The 20,354-nt window shown below is 45.8% G+C and overlaps 1 protein-coding gene and 1 pseudogene across 3 annotated transcripts in view, besides 18 other annotated features; both read right to left on the bottom strand.

Moving 5' to 3' along the window:
* SIRT1 (sirtuin 1) overlaps window positions 1-6,067 on the bottom strand; it is a 33,735-nt gene extending 27,668 nt beyond the window's left edge. The window contains exons 1-3 of one of the 3 annotated variants that reach the window (NM_012238.5): window positions 5,572-6,067; window positions 3,190-3,306; window positions 1,600-1,841 (exon numbers count right to left, since the gene is read on the bottom strand). In NM_012238.5, coding sequence (NP_036370.2) covers window positions 1,600-1,841; window positions 3,190-3,306; window positions 5,572-6,001 — 789 coding nt within the window. In that variant the 5' untranslated portion in view covers window positions 6,002-6,067. Of the gene's footprint in view, window positions 1-1,599; window positions 1,842-3,189; window positions 3,307-5,323; window positions 5,543-5,571 lie in introns of those variants that run through there. The other 2 variants (NM_001314049.2, NM_001142498.2) reach the window with 2 other exon arrangements.
* Window positions 5,278-5,572: a silencer, noted in NCBI's record as "tiled region #7890; HepG2 Repressive non-DNase unmatched - State 1:Tss, and K562 Repressive non-DNase unmatched - State 1:Tss". NCBI's record gives its function as "represses a minimal TATA promoter and a strong SV40 promoter by Sharpr-MPRA in HepG2 and K562 cells {active_cell/tissue: HepG2 | K562}" and the evidence as "EXISTENCE:reporter gene assay evidence [ECO:0000049][PMID:27701403]".
* Window positions 5,362-5,481: a silencer, noted in NCBI's record as "silent region_2415". NCBI's record gives its function as "represses an Ori minimal core promoter by ATAC-STARR-seq in GM12878 lymphoblastoid cells {active_cell/tissue: GM12878}" and the evidence as "EXISTENCE:reporter gene assay evidence [ECO:0000049][PMID:35858748]".
* Window positions 5,692-6,231: a silencer, noted in NCBI's record as "silent region_2414". NCBI's record gives its function as "represses an Ori minimal core promoter by ATAC-STARR-seq in GM12878 lymphoblastoid cells {active_cell/tissue: GM12878}" and the evidence as "EXISTENCE:reporter gene assay evidence [ECO:0000049][PMID:35858748]".
* Window positions 5,692-8,756: a biological region, named in NCBI's record as "SIRT1 promoter region". NCBI's record gives its function as "regulatory_interactions: SIRT1".
* Window positions 5,999-6,174: a promoter, noted in NCBI's record as "-115 to +61". NCBI's record gives the evidence for it as "EXISTENCE:reporter gene assay evidence [ECO:0000049][PMID:20160399]".
* Window positions 6,000-7,031: a promoter, noted in NCBI's record as "-977 to +55 promoter; activity is affected by polymorphism at rs35706870". NCBI's record gives the evidence for it as "EXISTENCE:reporter gene assay evidence [ECO:0000049][PMID:24875419]".
* Window positions 6,001-6,212: a promoter, noted in NCBI's record as "p158 promoter fragment". NCBI's record gives the evidence for it as "EXISTENCE:reporter gene assay evidence [ECO:0000049][PMID:19267881]".
* Window positions 6,002-8,387: a promoter, noted in NCBI's record as "-2341 promoter". NCBI's record gives the evidence for it as "EXISTENCE:reporter gene assay evidence [ECO:0000049][PMID:21555002]".
* Window positions 6,007-6,191: a silencer, noted in NCBI's record as "fragment chr10:69644290-69644474 (GRCh37/hg19 assembly coordinates)". NCBI's record gives its function as "represses an EF-1alpha promoter that drives an FKBP-Casp9 reporter gene in an ReSE screen in HepG2 liver carcinoma cells {active_cell/tissue: HepG2}" and the evidence as "EXISTENCE:reporter gene assay evidence [ECO:0000049][PMID:32094911]".
* Window positions 6,101-6,128: a protein binding site. NCBI's record gives its function as "promotes gene expression" and the evidence as "EXISTENCE:protein binding evidence [ECO:0000024][PMID:20160399]".
* Window positions 6,171-6,191: a protein binding site, noted in NCBI's record as "Sirt1p53RE". NCBI's record gives its function as "promotes gene expression" and the evidence as "EXISTENCE:protein binding evidence [ECO:0000024][PMID:19267881]".
* Window positions 6,312-6,471: an enhancer, noted in NCBI's record as "active region_3459". NCBI's record gives its function as "activates an Ori minimal core promoter by ATAC-STARR-seq in GM12878 lymphoblastoid cells {active_cell/tissue: GM12878}" and the evidence as "EXISTENCE:reporter gene assay evidence [ECO:0000049][PMID:35858748]".
* Window positions 6,492-6,551: an enhancer, noted in NCBI's record as "active region_3458". NCBI's record gives its function as "activates an Ori minimal core promoter by ATAC-STARR-seq in GM12878 lymphoblastoid cells {active_cell/tissue: GM12878}" and the evidence as "EXISTENCE:reporter gene assay evidence [ECO:0000049][PMID:35858748]".
* Window positions 7,135-7,154: a protein binding site, noted in NCBI's record as "p53ubs; binding affected by C/T polymorphism (rs3758391); T allele has increased binding; binding antagonized by association of Hic1". NCBI's record gives its function as "mediates stimulation of expression by nutrient stress" and the evidence as "EXISTENCE:protein binding evidence [ECO:0000024][PMID:20693263]".
* Window positions 7,786-7,809: a protein binding site, noted in NCBI's record as "nCaRE SIRT1-B". NCBI's record gives the evidence for it as "EXISTENCE:protein binding evidence [ECO:0000024][PMID:24356447]".
* Window positions 7,786-7,809: a protein binding site, noted in NCBI's record as "nCaRE SIRT1-B". NCBI's record gives its function as "promotes gene expression" and the evidence as "EXISTENCE:protein binding evidence [ECO:0000024][PMID:24356447]".
* Window positions 7,786-7,809: a sequence secondary structure, noted in NCBI's record as "nCaRE SIRT1-B cruciform or double stem-loop structure supported by T7 endonuclease I cleavage footprinting". NCBI's record gives the evidence for it as "EXISTENCE:in vivo cleavage assay evidence [ECO:0001075][PMID:24356447]".
* Window positions 8,733-8,756: a protein binding site, noted in NCBI's record as "nCaRE SIRT1-A". NCBI's record gives its function as "promotes gene expression" and the evidence as "EXISTENCE:protein binding evidence [ECO:0000024][PMID:24356447]".
* RPL12P8 (ribosomal protein L12 pseudogene 8) lies at window positions 15,832-16,391 on the bottom strand (annotated as a pseudogene).

Raw genomic sequence — 20,354 nt, 5'->3', positions numbered from 1 at the left:
TTCGCTCTGACGCCCAGGCTGGAGTGCAGTGGTGCCATCATGGCTCATTATGGCCTTAACCTTTCCGGCTCAAGCAATCCTCCCACCTCAACCTCCTTAGCAGCTGGGACTACAAGTACGCACCAGCACACCAGGCTAATTTTTTGTAGAGTCAGGGTCTATGTTGCTCAGGGTGATCTCAAACTCCAGGGCTCAAGTGATCCTCCCACTTTAGCCTCCCAAAGTGCTGGAATTACATGCATGAGCCACTCCACCAGCCAAGAATTTCTATTACAGAGAAGTAATTCCAAAGAAATTGCTCCTTTAGTTAGGATTCTATTACCTCAATACTACAACAATTCTCTATTTTCATTAAAAAAAACAATGTATAGCCAGGCACGGTGGATCACGCCTGTAATCCTGGCACTTTGGGAGGCCAAGGCAGGCGGATCACAAGGTCAGGAGTTTCAGACCAGCCTGGCCAATATGGTGAAACCCCATCTCTACTAAAAATACAAAAATTAGCCAGGTGTGGTGGTGTGCGCCTGTAATCCCAGCTACTCAGGAGGCTGAGGCAAGAGAATTGCTTGAACCCAGGAGGCAGAGGTTGCAGTGAGCCAAGATCCTGCCACTGCACTCCAGCCTAGGCAACAGAGCAAGACTCAGGCCAGGAGAGGCTGAGACTGCAGTGAGCCATGATGACACCACTGCACTCCAGCCAGGGCAACACAGCAAGACCCTGTATCCAAAAAAAAGAAAAAAAAAAAAGGTGTATAATATTTCAATTCTTCATTTCTTTGAGACGTGCCCACTAATCGTACAAAAAAATCCTGACATTTCAAATAGAGATTTCAGAAGTTATTGTTTCATCATCTTACCAGAGTTGACTCCAATTTGACCTGGAGTCAAGGTCAATTTAAGTTAAACAAACTTGTCTACATCGTTATCTGTGAGCAAAACATACTCCTGATGATCATCTAAGATTATGTAACACCCTTTCGCAACTCGAAATGGCAGAAAACAGGACAAAATTTTACTACAGCAGTTGCTCTGGTTGCTAACATGTAATATACTCTGTATAAAACACACACTATGCAATAGTCTTAGGTAACTAATTAGCTGCAACCCTAAGGTAGATCAAATAGAAAATGTCAAGTCGCCACAATCACATCATCTTAATTAATATGGAGGGAAGGTAGGAATCTGTTACTCTTCCCAACACTAAGCTTTTCACTTGTGAATACCAATTAGGTTTCCAGTTTCTCATAAAGATCTAACAAATACCCAATTTCTCCATCAGACTGACATCCCTTAACAAAAGCAGAGTTTCAATTCCCTGCATCTCCTTTAGGAGCTATGATATAATGTAGGTAGAAATCTTGCCTTAACTCCATTTACCCACTGTGCTATAAATAAGCAGAAGCAAATATTTTTTTAAGGCTGGAGAGGTTTTAAAAATCTGAACTAATTTAGCAACTGCTGCTGCACTCAGTTTTTGGCAGTTCCCAAACATCCATTATCATGTAAGGATAAATCCTTCTAAACCAGAAAAATGTTTCCTACTTGGAAAAGGCATAAGAAAATACATATACGACCTCCCCATGTACTAGTCTTACATACCCCAGCTCCAGTTAGAACTATAATTTTTTTGCACTCTTGCAGTAATTTCACAGCATCTTCAATTGTATTAATATCTTTTCTTTTTTTCCTTTTTGGTGGTTCTGAAAGGATATTAATAACAATCTGCCACAGTGTCATATCATCCAACTCAGGTGGAGGTATTGTTTCCGGCAATAAATCTTTAAGAATTGTTCGAGGATCTGTGCCAATCATAAGATGTTGCTGAACAAAAGTATATGGACCTACAATAAGGGGGAAAAGGCTTAAAGTCAACTTATCAAGTAATTCAAAATCTCATTTATTTTCTGAAGTAATGAGTTAGCATTCTGTGAGGGTTTTTTGCAAAGTAAGAAAATGCAATTTAATGGTATTTCATTCTCGGTACACTCAGAATTAATGCTATATCCCAATGAGATTAGGAAGATCTAATGAAGAGTTGGGAAGACCCCCTTCAGCTGTAAGTATATATTTCAAGAGTCTAATTAATTAACAACCAGAATTAAGTTCTTATGGTTAATATCTAGAAACACACACCATAATACCAAAAGTATTTACAAAAGGGTTCTACGACATAGAAAAATCGTACCAGTCCTAAAAGCCTGTACTACTTATCATTAAAACCACACAGGAAAAAGAAATGAAAATCTATACATAACTGCCATCTTAATTTTTTTCCGGTAATTTTTCAATTTGATCTTAACCCATCTTCCAAGATAATACATACAATGTTGATGTTCTGAGAACTAATCATTTTCTTTTACCCTGAGATTGCTCAAACCAGCTCCCTAGGCTTGAGAAAACAAAAATAAATAAATAAATAAATTACAGACACCAAAGAGAAACTGATCTTCACTATGTTTAAATAATCAAGCCATTTGTAAGAGTGAGAACACAAAAAGATCCACTTTCAAGATGGTTATACCTTTGGTATAAAAAACTGATAATGCTTTCTACATCGAAATACTTTCCCATTTCATTCACATATTTATTAAATATTTATTGAGCACAAACTATGTGCCAGGCACTTTTTTAGGCACTGAAAAGACAGGAGTATACAAGTCAGTCAAAAATTCCTGCTCCCGTAGAACTTATATTCTAGACCAGGAAACAACACAATTTAAAAAGTAAGATACAGAGCTTTTCAAGAAGTGGTAAGTGTACAATAAAGTGAAAAAACAAGGAATATGAAGTGAGGGAGGAAGATATTCTAACCGGATGAAGAACACTACACAAAAAGGGGACAAGTGAGGTGGGGCAAGGTGGCACATGCCTGTAATCCCAGCACTTTGGGAGGCCCAGGCGGACGGATCACCTGAGGTCGGGAGTTCAAGACCAGCCTGACCAACATGGAGAAACCCCGTCTCTACTAAAAATTCAAAATTAGCCGGGCGTAGTGGCATATGCATGTAATCCCAGCTGCTGGGGAGGCTGAGGCAGGAGAATCGCTTGAACCTGGAAGGCGGAGGGTACGGTGAGCCGAGATCGCGCCATTGCACTCCAGCCTCCGCAACAAGAGCGAAACTCTGTCTCAAAACAAACAAACCAAAAACCGTACATTTACTCTCTAAAATTAACAGCTCTGAGCCATACCTATCCGTGGCCTTGGAGTCCAGTCACTAGAGCTTGCATGTGAGGCTCTATCCTCCTCATCACTTTCACAGGAATGAAAACCATTAGTGATAATTTCATCACCGAACAGAAGGTTATCTGCAAAAGAAACCAAGTCAGTCAAGGCTATCAAAACAACATGCACCTAAAATGTATGAACGGTTATAGAGCAATCATTTTCATCGAGTACAGCATTTAACATTTACACGGCGTGTGTAAAGCATGCCTATGGGGTCAGCTTGCACTGTTCATTGGAACAGTTTCTTCATCTTTAGGAATTCTGCTCACTCAGTTTCAGCCAAAATCTAAAAATAAATTAAGTCTACTTAAAAAACAGAAAAGATAGCCGGGAGCGGTGGCTCACGCCTCTAATTCCAGAGCTTTGGGAGGCCGAGGCAGGCGGATCACCTGAGGTTGAGAATTCGAGACCAGCCTGACCAACATGGAGAAATCTCGTCTCTACTAATAATACAAAAATTAGCCGGGCATGGTGGCGCATGCCTGTAATCCCAACTACTCAGGAGGCTGAGGCACGAGAATGGCTTGAACCCGGGAAGCGGAGGTTGCGGTGAGCCGAGATCACGCCATTGCACTCCAGCTTGGGTAACAAGAGCGAAACTCCACCTTTTAAAAAAAAAGAAAAGGAAAAAAAAAAAGAAAAGATAATAATCTAGCTAGAATGTATCATACAATCACAAACAATAGCGTTCGTGAAACGTGTAATAAATGGACATTTACATAAAAACGTCATTCAAATATAACCTTGGCAATGCGCACGTTAAACTTACACAATACTACAAGTACCTCTGCATTGTTTCCTCTATTAAATAAACAGTATTAATAACACAATTATTATTAGGTAAATAATAAATTAGTACTCAACTGTGTTGCTTGAAATCAGGGTCTCTTTACTAAATCAGTCCCTAAAAACACATATTACTTTTTTTTTTTTTTTTTTTTGAGACGGGGTCTCACTCTGTTGCCCACCCTGGAGTGCAGTGGCAGGATCACAGCTCACTGCAACCTCGAACTCTAGTACCTGGGACTAAAGGTGTGCGACACCACGTCCCGCTTTTTTTACTTTTAGTAGAGAGGAGGTCTCGCTATGTTGCCCAGGCTGGCCTGAAACTCCTAGGCTCAAGAGATCCTCCCGCTTTGGCCTCCCAAAGTGCTAGGATTACACGAAAGAGCCACCGCGCCCGGCCTGACCCAAATATTGATAAAGATGAACACCTATCAAGGATAGAAACTCCTCAGATCAAAAATAAGAAACCTGACCGGGCGCGGTGGCTCACGCCTGTAATCCCAGCACTTTGGGCGGCCGAGGCGGACGGATCACGAAGTCAAGAAATCAAGACCATCCTGGCCAACATGGTGAAACCCCGTCTCTGCTAAAAACACAAAAATTAGCTGGGCGTGGTGGCGGGTGTCTGTAGTCCCAGCTACTCGGCAGGCTGAAGGAGAATCGGTTGAACGCGGGAGGCGGAGGTTGCACTGAGCCGAGATCGCGCCACTGCACTCCAGCCTAGCGACAGAGCGAGACTCCGTCTCAAAAAAAAAAAAAAAAAAAAAAAGAAACCTTCAAGAACATGACAACTGCAACATATCTGCTTCATTATGCTAGAAGTGTTAAGTTTGTGTCTCAATACTACATACATACAAAAAAAGCATGTTTAGCCCAAACACCATTACCGCACAAGAGCAAGATTAGAATAAAAGTAATATGAACAGCTCTAAAAGTACTCTCTCTCCCATACCCACTCCTAACTGCATTACAGAATGGTAATGTCTTCAGGAACAGCCACGTTCTTTAAATTTTGCAAGCTGTGACTATAGAAACAGCTTTCCTCTTTCAAAAATTGTAATTTCAGTCATAAAAATATAGACCAAAAAAAGCAAACTGCACAGGTGTCAAGTTTGCAAAAAGCAATTGAAAACGCAGACCAACGGGACAGCCAAAAAGTTGCAGACTTAAGTGTGCTGGGGGGTAGAGGAGAAAAGCAATGAAAATAAAAAATAAAGAAAAAGAAAAAAAAAGCTCTAACAAAAGCAATATGCTAAAAGAGTAAGAGGGGGAGAGAAACTTATTTTAAAGCGACTGCGAGAGTCTCCCGACCTGGCTGCTGCGGAAAGAACAAGGCCGCCCAGGCGGGCCACGGACGGAGGAAAAGAGCGAATCCACTGGCAGCTCGCGCAGTAGGAACCGCAGCCCCGGAGGAGCGCGGCTGAACGGAGGGCCGGGGTGGGGAGGGGAACGCCGCGGAGCCTGCCCCGAGCCCCCAGCCGCCCTCAACCTCAGGCCAGTAGGAGCCCGGGGAGAGGGAGGAGGAGATGCGCAGTTCCGGCCGCCCGCACCCTGCGCACCTCGGTACCCAATCGCCGCCGCCGCCGCCTCTTCCTCCTCCTCGCCCTCGTCGTCGTCGTCTTCGTCGTACAAGTTGTCGGCCAGCGGTGGCTCCCGAGATGGGCCCTGCAGGCCCGGCCCATTGTCTCCTTCCCCAGCCGCCGCAGTCGCCTGGGCCTCTTGCTCCCCGCCTGCCGCCGCCGCCTCTGCCTCCGCCTCCCGCCACAGCGCCGCCGCCGCCGCACCCGGGCAGCCCCTGGCCGCCGCCGGCACCTCACGCTCTGGGGCCGCCCCACCGGGCTCGCCCGGGCTCCGCTCGAGGCCGGGACCATCTCTCCGCGGCCTCTTGCGGAGCGGCTCCCCGGCGGGGGACGACGCGGCCTCCCTGTCGGCCCCCGCCGCCGAGGGGGAGCCGCCGGGCTGAAGGGCGAGGGCCGCCTCGTCCGCCATCTTCCAACTGCCTCTCTGGCCCTCCTCCCTCGCCTCCTCTGCTCCCGCTCGACGCGCGGCACTGGCGCCCCCGCGGCTCCGGCTGCGGGAGATTTAAACCCCATCACGTGACCCGCCCCATCGCCGCCCCCGCCCTCTCGGCGCTCCCGCCACCCACGCGGGCCAGACCACAACACTACGGGTCACGTGGCGGGCGGAGGCTGTTGCGTCTACCGCTCCGCCTGGGCTGGAAGCGCACTCGGCCCCGGCGGCCGGCGGCCCTTCCTCTTTGTGGCGAGCGTGTAGTGCAGCCAAATTCGCCCCTCGGCCGCTTTCTCAACTTCTCTTTCAAACTGACCTCAAATCACTACCGCCGGAACAGCTCAAGTTTTGGTCCGCCCTGGGAATTTCCACGTCTTCCTGAAGTGTACACCTGGCCTGCCTTAGCCTTGTCTATATTTAGCTAAGGGTTAAAACACAGCTGAAGCTGGCTAAGACTTAGCTCCCTGAAATACGTTGGATAGTCGTTCTGTTTTGTTAATAAGTAGGAAGAGAGGCAAAAGGAGGCGGCTCCTTTCCCACTCTCCTCACACCGTTCTGACAGCTCCTCTTTTGCTCCTTTTTCTGCTCCTTGCTTTTCTCCTTAGTCGGTTGCTTTTTTCCCCTCTCTCCCATCACTTGTAGGGTGGTATACATTGTAAAATCCTTGAAGGCATATGTCCTCCTGGGAAGACCTTTGACGTGGAGGTTTGGAGATCAGCCGATCTACTTTCTGGCCCCAGCTTGGCTTCAAACGTGTGTGAATTCCCTCCTCCGGGCCTCAGTTTTCTCACGTGCAGAATGGGTTTGTTGGGTCAGTATGAGAGCATGGGAAGGAAATGACTTGGCCTCCATGCACATCTGCCCTTGGTTAAAATTTGGAGTCCTTCCTTTCTAGCGTGAGCTATCTAGCCGTTTCTAAACTTAATTTTTCTCATGTCTTAAATGGTAATAAGTATTTTAAAACGTCATAGATTTAAATGAGATAACCAGATGTAAAACGAGGGGTACCTAGTAGTTCAAAAGGCTTAGTGGAAAGCCCTTCCACTTTCCTCTCTCCCTGAAATTCTGGCACACTGTGACTCCATATCTAATCTTAACTAAGGACCCATATAACCCATGGTAGATCTAGAGCCAGTGTTTGTTATGGCATCTGCCTGGAGCACAGCGTTTCTATCTGTTTAAAGGACCTCTACGAGTTTATGGTACACTGTCCCTTAAGCCTAGTATGGGTTCTGGCCATACTGCATCAATTACCTGCGTGACTTTAGGCAACCAACTTAAAGCTGTTTCTTCATCCTTAAAATAAAAAATAAAAAGCTGGAAATATATCGCTAAGGTCCTATCTACATCCAAAAGTCTTATTTCATCTGGTCACCACTATTCATTTCTGAAAGTAATCATCTCCAGTCCTAGAAGCCTTAAAACCATCTTTGGTTGCGTGGGGGTCAAGGGGAGGGAGAGCATTAGGACAAATAGCTAATGCATGCGGGACTTAAAACCTGGCTGGGCGCGGTGGCTGCTGCCTGTAATCCCAGCACTTTGGGAGGCCGAGGCGGACAGATCACCTGAAGTCGGAAGTTCGAGACCAGCCTGACCAACATGGAGAAACCCCGTCTCTACTAAAAATACAAAATTAGCCGGGCGTGGTGGCACATGCCTGTAATCCCAGCTACTCAGAAGGCTGAGGCAGGAGAATCGCTTGAACCCAGCAGGCAGAGGTTGCGGTGAGCCGAGATCGCACCATTGCACACCAGCCTGGGCAGCAAGAGCGAAACTCCGTCTCAAAAAAAAATATAAATAAAACCTAGATGAGGGGTTGATTGGTGCAGCAAACCACCATGGCTCACCTATAAGTATGTAACAAACCTACACATTCTGCACCTGTATCCTGGAACTTAAATTAAAAAAAAAATCTTTGAAGCGTTCCTTCATACCAATCCCTCTGAAATCCATCTGACCAATCAATGACCAAATCCTGTTGTCCTTCCTTTCTTGCTACACTCCTCCCAATTCCTGACTAGGCACCACACTCCTAGTGGTTGACATACTTGGTCCTCCCCACTTTCTGTCTTACACTACAAAATATTTCATAAATTGACTCTCAGCTACGTTGGTGGAATGCAATATATGAAATGTTGAGAGTCAGTATCCCAATAAAACAGAAACAAAATTCCCAGCTTTTTTGAGAAAAAGATGTCTGTAAGCTTATGAGCATCCTGTTGTTCATTAATTCATTTATATTTATAGTATATTATTGACACGTGAAGTTTATGAACTACAAGAAATGCTATGTGATCAATATTATTGTTAGTATGCTGAGAGGTCAGAGATGCAGTATGCTTTTCAGGTAGGATAAATGAGAAACAGAAATTGTATTACAACAAACACAAAAACAAAAAATCCCAATTAGACTTCTGGTCTACCACTGGTTAAGAACTAACATTAAGGCTAGGCGCTGTGGCTCACGCCTATAAATCCCAGCACTTTGGGAGGCCAAGGCGGGCGGATCACCTGATGTCAGGAGTTCGAGACCAGCCTGACCAGTATGATGTAACCCCGTCTCCACTAAAAATACAAAAATTAGCCCAGAGTGGTGGCATGCGCCTGTAATCCCAGCTACTCGGGAGGCTGAGACGGGAGAATCGCTTGAACTCAGGAGGTGGAGGTTGCAGTGACCTGAGACAGTGCCATTGCACTCCAGCCTGGGCAACAAGAGTGAAACTCTGTCTCAAAAAAAAAAAAAAAAAAAAAAGAACATTAATATTCTGGCTGACTTAGTAGTTCTATTCTCCTAAGTTAATAAATTGGCCTGCCAAGCACGGTGGCTGACGCCTGTAATCCCAGCACTTTGGGAGGTCGAGGCGGGTGGATCACGAGGTCAGGAGATCAAGACCATCCTGGCTAACACGGTGAAACCCCGTGTCTACTAAAAATACAAAAAATTAGCCGGGTGTGGTGGCGGGCGCCTGTAGTCCCAGCTACTCGGGAGGTTGAGGCAGGAGAATGGCGTGAACCCAGGAGGCGGAGCTTGCAGTGAGCCGGGATCGCGCCACTGCACTCTGGCCTGGGCGACAGAGTGAGACTCCATCGCAAAAAAAATAAAAATAAGAATAAATAAAAAATGAATAAATAAAAAAATAAATTGGCCTAATAGCTCTGATATCAGTCTCATGTGACTACAATTAGTAAGGGAGTTAGTATCAACTCTTTTGTACTAATAAAATGTTATTGTCAAAACTGAAAAACACAAATGGAAATCCCTACTTCACACAATATACGAAAATAAATTCCAGCCAGGCGCGGTGGCTCACTCCTGTAATCCCAGCACTTTGGGAGGCTGAGGGGGGGCAGATCACCTGAAGTCGGGAGTTCAAGACCAGCCTGGCCAACATGGACAAACTACTACTGACTCTACTAAAAAATAAATTAGCCAGGTGTGGTGGCACATTCCTGTAATCCCAACTACTTGGGAGGCTGAGGGAGGAGAATTGCTTGAACCTGGGAGGCGGAGATTGCAGTGAGCCGAGATTGCACCATTGCACTCCAGCCAGGGCAACAAGAGCAAAACTTCATCTCAAAAATATAAAAAATTAAAAATTCCAGATGGATTGAAGATCTAAATGAAAAAATACAAAAATAAAAATATGACATTTTAGAATATTTATAACTTTGGATCAAGAAAGAACTTTTTAGCAAGGCAGGAGCCATTTTTTAAATGATAAAAATATTTGACAATATAAAAATTTAAAATATGCTCAAACCTATTAGTAGTCAGGGATACGTAGTGAAAAAATGTCCTAGCCAAGTACAATGGCTCATACCTATAATCCCAGCACTTTAGGAAGCTGAGGTGGAAGGATGGCTTGAGACCAAGAATTTGAGATCAGCCTGGGCCACACAGTGAGACCTCATCTCTCCAAAACCTTTAAAAATTAGTCCAGCATCCTGCTTTGCGCCTGTAGTCCGAGCTACTTGGGAGGCTGAGGCAGGAGGACTGTTTGAGCCTGAAGGTCGAGGCTGCAGTGAGCCACGGTCTAGCCACTGCACTCCAACCTGGGCAACACAGCAAGACCCTAACTCAAAAAAATAAAATACGGCTGGGCGCAGTGGCTCACGCCTGTAATCCCAGCACTTTGGGAGGCTGAGGCGGGCAGATCATGAGGTCAGGAGATTGAGACCATCCTGGCTAACATGGTGAAACCCCGTCTCCACTAAAAATACAAAAAAATTAGCCAGGCGTGGTGGTGGGCGCCTGTAGTCCCAGTTACTCGGGAGGCTGAGGCAGAAGAATGGCGGAAACCCAGGAGGCAGAGCTTGCAGTGAGCCAAGATCACGCACTGCACTCCAGCCTGGGCGACAGAGTGAGACTCCATCTCAAAAAAAATAAATAAAGTAACATCCGGGTGCGGTCAGTCATGCCTGTAATGCTAGTACTTTGGGAGGCCAATGTGGGCAGATCACTTGACGTCAGGAGTTCGAAACCAGCCTGGCCAAAATGGTGAAACCCCATCTCTACTAAAAATATACGATAATTAGCCAGGCATGGTGGTGCACGTCTGTAATCTCAGCTACTCGGGAGGCTGAGGAACGAGAATCACTTGGACCTGGGAGGTGGAGGTTGCAGTGAGCCGAGATTGCGCCACTGCACTCCAGCCTAGGTGACAGAGTGAGACTCCGTCTCAAAAATAAAATAAAATAACATTAAAACATGACCGGGAGTGGTGGCTCACACCTGTAATCCCAGCACTTTGGGAGGCTGAGGCAGGAGGTCAACAGTTTGAGACCAGCCTGGCCAATATTGTGAAACCCTGTCTCTACTAAAAATTAGCCAGGTGTGGTGGCACAGGTCTGTGATCCCAGCTACTCAGGAGGCTGAGGCAAGGCAATCGCTGAACACAGGAAGCAGAGGCTGCAGTGAGCCAAGATCGCAAGATCATGAGACAGAGTGAGATTCCATCTCACCAAAAAAAAAAACAAACAACAACAACAACAAAAAACCAAGGTATTACTTTTCACCCCTCAAATAGGCAAAAGGAAAAAAAAAGTTTTTATTGTCACTGTCTGTTGCTAAGCAGAATATGGAGAAACTGATACATTGTTGACATAATGTTGGAAAGTAATCTGGAAACATTTATTTAAATTATACGTATATAATCCGAGCATTTTGGGAGGCAGAAGCAGGTCGATCACTTGAGGTCAGAGTTTGAGACCAGCCTGCCCAACATGGAGAAACCCTGTCTCTACTAAAAATACAAAAATTAGGCCGGGGGCAGTGGCTCACACCTGTAATCCCAGCACTTCGGGAGGCTGAGGCGGGTGGATCACGAGGTCAGGAGATCAAGACCATCCTGACTAACACAGTGAAACCCCGTCTCTATTAAAAATACAAAAAAATTAGCCGGGCGTGGTGGTAGGCTCCTGTAGTCCCAGCTACTCGGGAGGCTGAGGCAGGAGAATTGCTTGAACCCGGGAGGCGGAGGTTGCAGTGACCCAAGATCGCGCCACTGCACTCCATCCTGGGCAACAGAGCGAGACTCTGTCTCAAAAAAAATAAAAAAATAAAAAATGAAAAAATAAAAGGGTTTGTAACTGTCGTTGTTGAGGAGTGTGTGTGAAACACTGTGAGTGAAAAAAGCAAGTTGCACAGTAATGTGTGCATTATTGTCCTTTCTTATTTAATAAATATCCCTTTATTATTATTTTATTTTATTAATTAAATTTTTTTTGAGATGGAGTCTCTCTCTGTTGCCCAGGCTGGAGTGCAGTGGCACAATCTTGGCTCACTGCAACCTCCACCTCCTGGGTTCAAGCGATTCTCCCACCTCAGCCTCCCCAATAGCTGGGACTACAGGTGTGTGCCACCATGCCCGGCTAATTTTCATATTTTTAGTAGAGACAGGGTTTCGCCGTGTTGGCCAGGCGGGTCTCAAACTCCTGACCTCGTGATCCACCCGCCTTGGCCTCCCAAAGTGCTGGCATTATAGGTGTGAGTCACTGTGCCTGGCCAATTATTATTATTTTTTAAACCTCTATATGCCTATGAGAAAAGAAAAGTATTTTTATCTGATGAATGTGAGTCATTTTAAATTATTAGGCCCAAAGAGACATAAAAACGAGACAGCAGACTGGGCACAGTGGCTCACAGCTGTAATCCCAACACTTTGGGAGGCTGAAGCGGGAGATTGCTCGAGGTCAAAAGTTCAAGACCATCCTGGCCAACATGGCAAAACCCCGTCTCTACAAAAAATACAAAAATTAGCCAGGTGTTATGGCCCATGCCTGTAGTCCCAGCTACTTGGAAGTCTGCGGTGGGAGGATCACCTGACCCTGGGGAGATCCAGGATGCAGTGAGCCGAGATTGCGCCACTGTACTCCAGCCTGGGTGACAGAACTTACTCCCCACTTTGTGTATTCGTCTCTTGAAACTGCTTGCCACAAGTAGCTATAAATTCACCCAATGCTTCAGCATATCATAAGAGTGAAAAGAAAAAAAAATTCATCCAATAATGCCACACCAGACACTATAAACTGCACCCTATAACTTAACAATGTATAGCCAATCACTAATCATTGCTTTTTCTGTAAACCAATGAGAATTTCTGACAGATACCTTTGTTATTGGCTCACTCCCCGCCCACTTTTTCACTTAAAAAACCTTCTTGTAATGGATAAGGAGCTGAGTGAAGCTCATATCCAAGATTACTTGGGTCTGAATCTTCCAGGCAGCTATCTTCACTTTGGCTCAGTTAAACTCTTTAAATTATATTTTGTGCCTCAGCTTCTTCCTTTTAGGTCAATGTCTTTTTTTTTTTTTTTCTTTTTTCTTGTTTTTGAGACCAAGTCTCCTGCTGTCACCCAGGCTGGAGTGCAGTGGCGCGATCTCGGCTCACTGCAACCTCTGCCTCCCAAGTTCAAGCGATTCTCCCACCTCAGCCTCCTGGGTAGTAGCTGGGATTACCGGCATGCGTTACCATGCCCGGCTACTTTTTGTATTTTTAGTAGAGACAGAGTTTCACCATTTTGGCCAGGCTGATCTTGAACTCCCGACCTCAGATGATTCACCCGCATTGGCCTCGGAAAGTGCTGGGATTAAAGGCGTGAGACATGGCGCCAGGCCTAGGTCAAAATCTATATACAAATCTACATACAAGGGCAGGTGCGGTGTCTCACACCTGTGATCCTAGCACTTTGGGAGGCCAAGGCAGGGAGACTACTTGAGCCCAGGAGTTTGAGACCAGCCTGGGCAACATGAGGAAACCCCATCTCCATAAAAAGTACAAAAATTAGCCAGGTGTGGGCTGGGCACGGTGGCTCACGCCTTTAATCCCACAACTTTGGGAGGCAGAAGCAGGCGGATTGCAAGGTCGAGAGTTCGACACCAGCCTGACCAACACGGTGAAACCCCATCTCTACTAAAAATACAAAAATTAGCTGGGCATGGTGGTGCATGCCTGTAATCCCAGCTACTCAGGAAGCTGAGGCAGGAGAATCGCTTGAACCCGGGAGGTGGAGGTTGCAGTGAGCCAAGATCATGCCATTGCAGTCTAGCCTGGGCGACAGAGGGAGACTCCATCTCAAAAAAAAAAAAAAAAATTAGCCAGGCGTGGTGGTGCGCACTGGTAGTCCCAGCTACTTGAGAATCTAAGGGAAGAGAACTGCCTGAGCCCAGAAGGCAGAGGTTGCAGTGAGCTGAGGTCGCACCATTGCACTCCAGCCTTGGCGACAGGAGTGAAACCCTGTCTTGAAAAAAAAAAAAGAAAGAAAGAAAAAGAAAAAATATCTACATATAAATACGGCTATAAGGCTGGGCGCGGTGGCTCATGCCTGTAATCCTAGCACTTTGGGAGCCTGAGGTGGGTGGATCACGAGGTCAGGAGTCTGAGACCAGCCTGGCCAACATAGTGAAACCCTGTCTCTGCTAAAAATACAAAAATTAGCCGGGCATGGTGGCGCATGCCTGTAGTCCCAGCTACTAGGGAGGCTGAAGGAAGAGAATCGCTTGAACCTGGGAGATGGAGGTTGCAGTGAGCCAAGATCGCGCCACTGCACTCCAGCCTGGGTGACAGAGCAAGACTCTGTCTCAAAAGAAAAAAAAAAAAAAGGCTGTAGAGGCTTAGAAAAAGTATGGCAAGTTACATATCAAAATGTTAACATTTTAACATCCCTGATTGAGGGGCCTGGACATAGATGGGAGGGTTGAGGACACATTAATAACTATTTCTTGCTAAAATTTCACATTATTAAAATGAGAACTTTTTTCAGAAATTTAAAGGAAAAAGAGTAACTTTTTTTGTAACTGCAAGCTGAGCGCTAGCCCTTGAGCTCTGGTGACCCTCCCACTCTTTGAGGCTTGAGCAGTTGGCTGACTTTATTGTCCTACGTCTCTTCATTTTAGATTTCCTAGGCATACCTACACATTTAACAGATGCTACTCTTTCATGGTTTAAAATATGTTGTTTTTTCAGAAACAGGATCTTACTATGTTGCCTAGGCTGGAGTGCAGTGGCACAATCATAGTTTGCTGCTGCAGCCTCAAACTCCTGGGTTCAAGCAATCCTCACTTCAGCCTCCTAAGTAGCTGGTCTACAGCCATGTACCACCATACCTGGCTAATTTTTAAATTTTTAATAGAGATGGGGTCTTGCTATGTTGCCCAGGTTGGCCTCAAACTCCTGACCTCAAGGCATCCTTCTGCCTGTTTTGTCTTTTTGACGAGGTTAAAAGACAAATGTTGTACTTTCCAACAGAACTTAAGATTCTGCACTTTATCAAACACCATTTGGGGAGCTGTGTGAAATTTCCAAACTATAACAAATAGGCAGTTTAGTCATGCAGCCTGCCTTCCACCAGCAGTATATAAACCTAGATCAGTGGTTCTCAACTGGGAGATTTTGCCCTCCATCCCCTAGAGGACATTTGACATTTCAAAGACTTTTCTAGTTGTCACACCTGGGAGAAGGATGTACTGCTGGCATCCAGCAGATAGAAGCCAAGGGTGTTGCTAAACGTTCTAGAAATCTAGAAAACAGCCATCTACAACAAATAATTATCCAGCCAAAATTTCAACAGTGCCATGCCTGAGAAACACTGGCCTAAAATTTCAACCATATAGGGCAAGTGGTAATGATTGGGGCTCTAAATGAGGAAGGTTCCCAAGGGAATGAAAGGGCAAGCTTTTATTATCAAGGCTAGGTTGCAGAGCAGCAGAGGAGTGATTTTCACATTGGTTTTTATCAGCAGAATCCACCCACTGAATGAACTTAACTCTACTGTACAGTATCATAAAGATATATTTCCTTTATAAAGGACTCTCATTAATCAGTAAGAAAAAGATTGATAGCGTAGTTGGAAATGAAGAGTTCAGTTCACAGAAAATAGGACACAAGTGGCTTTTAAACATATGAAAGTTGTAAAACCTCACTCATAAATACACAACTATGCATTAACCTATAACAAAATGTCAGTTTTCACCCATCAAAATAGTAAGGAACTGGCCAGGCACGGCCTGTAATCCTAGCATTTTGGGAGGCCGAGGCGAGCAAAATCACTTGAGGTCAGGAGTTCGAGACCAGCCTGGCCAACATGGCAAAACTCCGTCTCTACTAAAAATACAAAAATTAGCTGGGCATGGTGGTGGGCATCTGTAATCACAGCTACTCAGGAGGCTGAGGCAGGAGAATCACTTGAACCAGGGAGGAGGAGGTTGCAGTGAGCCAAGATCGTGCCACTGCACTCCAGCCTGGGTGACAGAGCAAGACTTTTTTTTTTCTCCCTCTTTTTTTTTTTGTTGAGATGGAGTCTTGCTTTGTCACTGTTGATGTCATCTATGATGTCATGAGAGTGGCGGCCATCAACATTACAGCCCACAGACTGGGCAGTCCCCAGGATCTCTTTAATGGTTCCAGAGAGTTCTCTGGCTAAGGATCGGTGCCGCATCTGTCGAGCAACCTTGATGATCTCATCAAAAGTGATATTCCCACTGTGTTTAATGTTTCTCTGTTTCTTTCCGTCTCTTGGTGGCTCCTTGAGGGCTTTGATGGTCAGGGCGGAGGCAGAAGGCACCACCTCAATCTGGGCTTGTCTGTTCTGAATTGTCAGTTTCACTGTAATCCTCAGGCCCTTCCAGTCACCCGTTGCCTTGGCAATGTCATCACCAACCTTTTTTGGAGACAGACCCAGGGGGCCGATCTTGGGGGCCAGGGCAGAAGTGGCACCGACTTCACCTCCGGTGCACCTCAGGTATACGACTTTGATCTTGTTGGGGTCGAACTTCGGTGGCATGGTGGAGGCGGCTGGTGTGGGATGAACCCGGATTCGGAACGACGGAAGAAAGTTGCACCTTGGCCTCCTCCGAGCCGAAAGCCGAGAGCTGTTTTCATATTGTTGTGTTTCATGTTTTCTTTTCTTTTTTTTTTTTTTTTGAGACAGAGTCTCGTTCTGTCACCCAGGCTGAAGGGCAGTGGCGCGATCTCGGCTCACTGCAACCTTCGCCTCCCGGGTTAACGCCATTCTCCTGCCTCAGCCTCTCAAGTAGCTGGGACTACAGGCACGTGCCACCACACCCGGCTAATTTTTTTGTATTTTTAGTAGAGACGGGGTTTTACCGTGTTAGCCAGGATGGTCTGGATCTCCTGACCTCGTGATCTGCCCGCCTCAGCCTCCCAAAGTGTTGGGATTACAGGCGTGAGCCACCGCGCCCGGTCTTATGTTTTCTATATATTCTAGAAAAAGTCCTTTGTCAGATTGGTGACTTGCAAATATTTCTCCCAGACTGCAGCTTATCTTTCATTCTCTTAAACATGTTCTTTGCAGAGCAGAAGTTTTCTATATTGTTGTTGTTTTGAGACAGAATCTCGCTCTGTTGCCCAGGCTGCAGTGCAGTGGCGTGATCTCGGCTAAATGCAACCTCCGCCTCCTGGGTTCAGGGGATTCTCCAGTCTCAGCCTCCTGGGTAGCTGGGATTACAGCTGCCCGCCACCACACCTGGCTAATTTTTGTGGTTTTAGTAGATATGGAATTTCGCCATGTTGGCTAGGCTGGTCTCGAACTCCTGACCTCAGGTGATCTGCCTGCCTTGGCCTCCCAAAGTGCTGGGATTACAGGTGTGAGCCACTGCGCCCAGGCAGAAGTTTTTTATATTGGTGAAGATCAGCTTACCATTTATTTTTTTTTTATGAATTTTACTGTTGATATTATGTGTAGAACTCTACCTAACCCAAGGTTCCAAATATTTTCTTTGGTTTTCCTTCTGAAAATTTTATTTTTCTTTTTTTTGAGACAGAGTCTGGCTTCATAGCCCAGGCTGCAGTGCAGTGGCGCGAACTTGGCTCACTGCAACCTCTGCCTCCCTGGTTCAAGTGATTCTCCTGCCTCAGCCCCCCGAGTAGCTGGGAGTACAGGCACCCATCACCACATCTGGATAATTTTTGTAATTTTAGGTCGGGCGCTGTGGCTCACGCCTGTAATCCCAGCCCTTTGGGAGGCCTAGGCTGGTGGAACACGAGGTCAGGAGCTCGGGATCAGCTTGGCCAATATGGTGAAACCCCGTCTCTACTAAAAATACAAAAATTAGCTGGGTGTGGTGGCACTTGTAGTCCCAGCTACTAGGAAGTCTGAGGCAGGAGAATCGCTTGAACCTGGGAGGAGGAGGTTGCAGTGAGCCGAGATCGCACCACTGCACTCCAGCCTGGGTGACACCGTGAGACTCCATCTCAAAAAAAAAAAAAAAATCAATTGCTCATGCTTCCGTAGGTCCCCTTCTGGACTCTATTCTGTTCCATTGATGCAAATGTCTATCCTTTCACCAACACAGTACTACCCTGTCTTTTTTTTTTTTTTTTTTTTTTTTTTTCTGAGACAGAGTCTCACTCTGTCACCATGCTGGAGTGCAGTAGCTCGATCTCAGCTTGCTGCAACCTCCACCTCCCCAGTTCAAGCGATTCTCCCACCTCAGCCTCCTGAGTAGCTGGAACTACAGGCGTGCACCACCATGCCCGGGTAATTTTTGTATTTTTAGTAGAGACGGGTTTTCACCATGTTGGCCAGGATGGTCTTATTCTCCTGACCTTGTGATCCGCGTGCCTCGGCCTCCGAAAGTGCTGGGATTATAGGCGTGAGCCACCGTGCCTGGCTCTATGCTGTCTTGATTGTGTAGCTTTATACTAAATCTTGAAATCAGATTTAGTGCCAGTCCTCCAGTGTTTTTCTTCTTCTTCAAAATTGTTGAGGCTGGCGGGGCACGGTGGTTCACATCTATAATCCCAGCACTTTGGGAGGCCGAGGAGGGTGGATCACTTGAGGTCAGGAGTTCAAGACGAGGCTGGCCAACATGGCGAAACTCCGTCTCTACTAAAAATACAAAAATTAGCCAGTTGTGATGGTACACACCTGTAGTCCCAGCTACTCAAGAGGCAGAGGCTGCAGAGAGCCAAGATCGCACCACTGCACTCCAGCCTGGGTGACACAGCAAGACTCTGTCTCAAAAAATAAAAAAGAAAAAGCTAATTGACAGGCCAGGCGCGGTGGCTCACACCTGTAATCCCAGCACTTTAGGAGGCTGAGGTGGGTGGATCATGAGGTCTGGAGTTCAAGACCAGCCTAATCAACATGGTGAAACCCTGTCTCCACTAAAAATACAAAAATTAGCCAAGCATGGTGGTGCAGGCCTGTAATCCCAGTTACTCAGGAGGCTGAGGCAGGAGAATCGCTTGAACCTGGGAGGCGGAGGTTGCAGTGAGCTGAGATCGCGCCACTGCACTCCAGCCACAGCAATAGAGCCAGACTCTGTCTCAAAAAAAAAAAAACAAAAAAAGAAAACATATCCATCACCTCATATACGTATCATTTTTTTTTGTAGTGAGAACATTTGAAATATATTTTAGCCAGTTTTTAAATATATAGTGCATTATTATTAACTATGGTGACCATGCTATGCAATCAACCTTAAAAACTCATTTCTGGCTGGGCACGGTGGCTCACACCTGTAATCCCAGCACTTTGGGAGGCCGAGGTGGGCGGATCACGAGGTCAGAAGATCAAGACCATCCTGGCTAACATAGTGAAACCGTATCTCTACTAAAAATACAAAAAATTAGCCGGGCGTGGTGGCGGGCGCCTGTAGTCCCAGCTACTCAGGAGGCTGAGGCAGGAGAATGGTGTGAACCCAGGAGGCGGAGCTTGCAGTGAGCCGAGATCGCGCCACTGCACTCCAGCCTGGGCAACAGAGTGTGACTCCGTCTCAAAAAAAAAAAAAATTCATTTATCTTGTCTAACTGATCATTTAGAAATACAATTAATTTTCAATATTAACTCCAATTTTACTAAACTCACTTATTAGTTCTAGAAGCTTTTCTGTAGATTCTTTGAAATTGTCTACATGGACTATCATGTTGTCTGAGAACACAGACATTTTCATTTCTTTTTTTTCAAATCTGCATGCCTTTTATTTAGTTGTTCTTGCCTTATTGTACTGGTTATGATTTCATACAATGTTGAAGGGGAGTAAAGACAACAGATATCCTTATCTTGTTCCAGATATTAGGAGGAAACATTAGTTCTTTCACTATCTTTTTTAAGACAAAGTGTCTCACTCTCTTTTCCAGGCTGGAGTGCAGTTGTGCTTACTGTAACCTTGAACTCCTTGGCTCAAGCAGTCCTCCTGCCTCAGCCTCCCAAGTAGCTGGAACCATAGGTGCATGCCACCATGCCCGGCTAATTTTTTAATCTTTGTAGAGACAGGGTCTCACTGTGTTGCCCAGGCTAGTTTTGAACTCCTGGGCTCAAAGGATGCTCCCACCTCGGCCTCCCAAAGTGTTAGAATTATAGGCATGAGCCACTGTGCCTGGTCCCAGGCTTTCACTATTTAGTATGACGTTAGCTGTAAGTCTTTTAGTTTTAGTTTTTTTTTTTTAACAGATGTTCTTTTTCAGGTGAAGAAAGTTTCTTTTATTACTAGTTTGCTAAGAGTTTTTATTATAAATAGGTGTTAAATGTTGCTAAATTTTTTTTTGCATCTATTGAGATGATCATATGGTTTTTCTTCTTGGGCTGTTGAAATGGTGAATTACCTTCTTTTTTTTTTTTTTTTTTGGTGTAGGGGGACAGAGTCTTCCTCTTGTCACCCAGGCTGGAGTGCAATGGCACAATCTTGGCTCACTGCAACCTCTGCCTCCCAGGTTCAAGCAATTCTCCTGCCTCAGCCTCCCAAGTAGCTGGAATTACAGGCACCCACCACCATACCTGGCTAATTTTTGTATTTTTAGTAGAGACAGGGTTTTGCCATGTTGGCCAGGCTGGTCTCGAACTCCTGACCTCATGATCCACCCACCTCACC

Source organism: Homo sapiens, chromosome 10, assembly GCF_000001405.40.
Source record: "Homo sapiens chromosome 10, GRCh38.p14 Primary Assembly".
In the NCBI taxonomy this organism is placed as follows: domain Eukaryota; kingdom Metazoa; phylum Chordata; class Mammalia; order Primates; family Hominidae; genus Homo; species Homo sapiens.
Note: the sequence above shows the minus strand (reverse complement) of the source record. Positions and strands in the feature narration are given on the sequence as shown.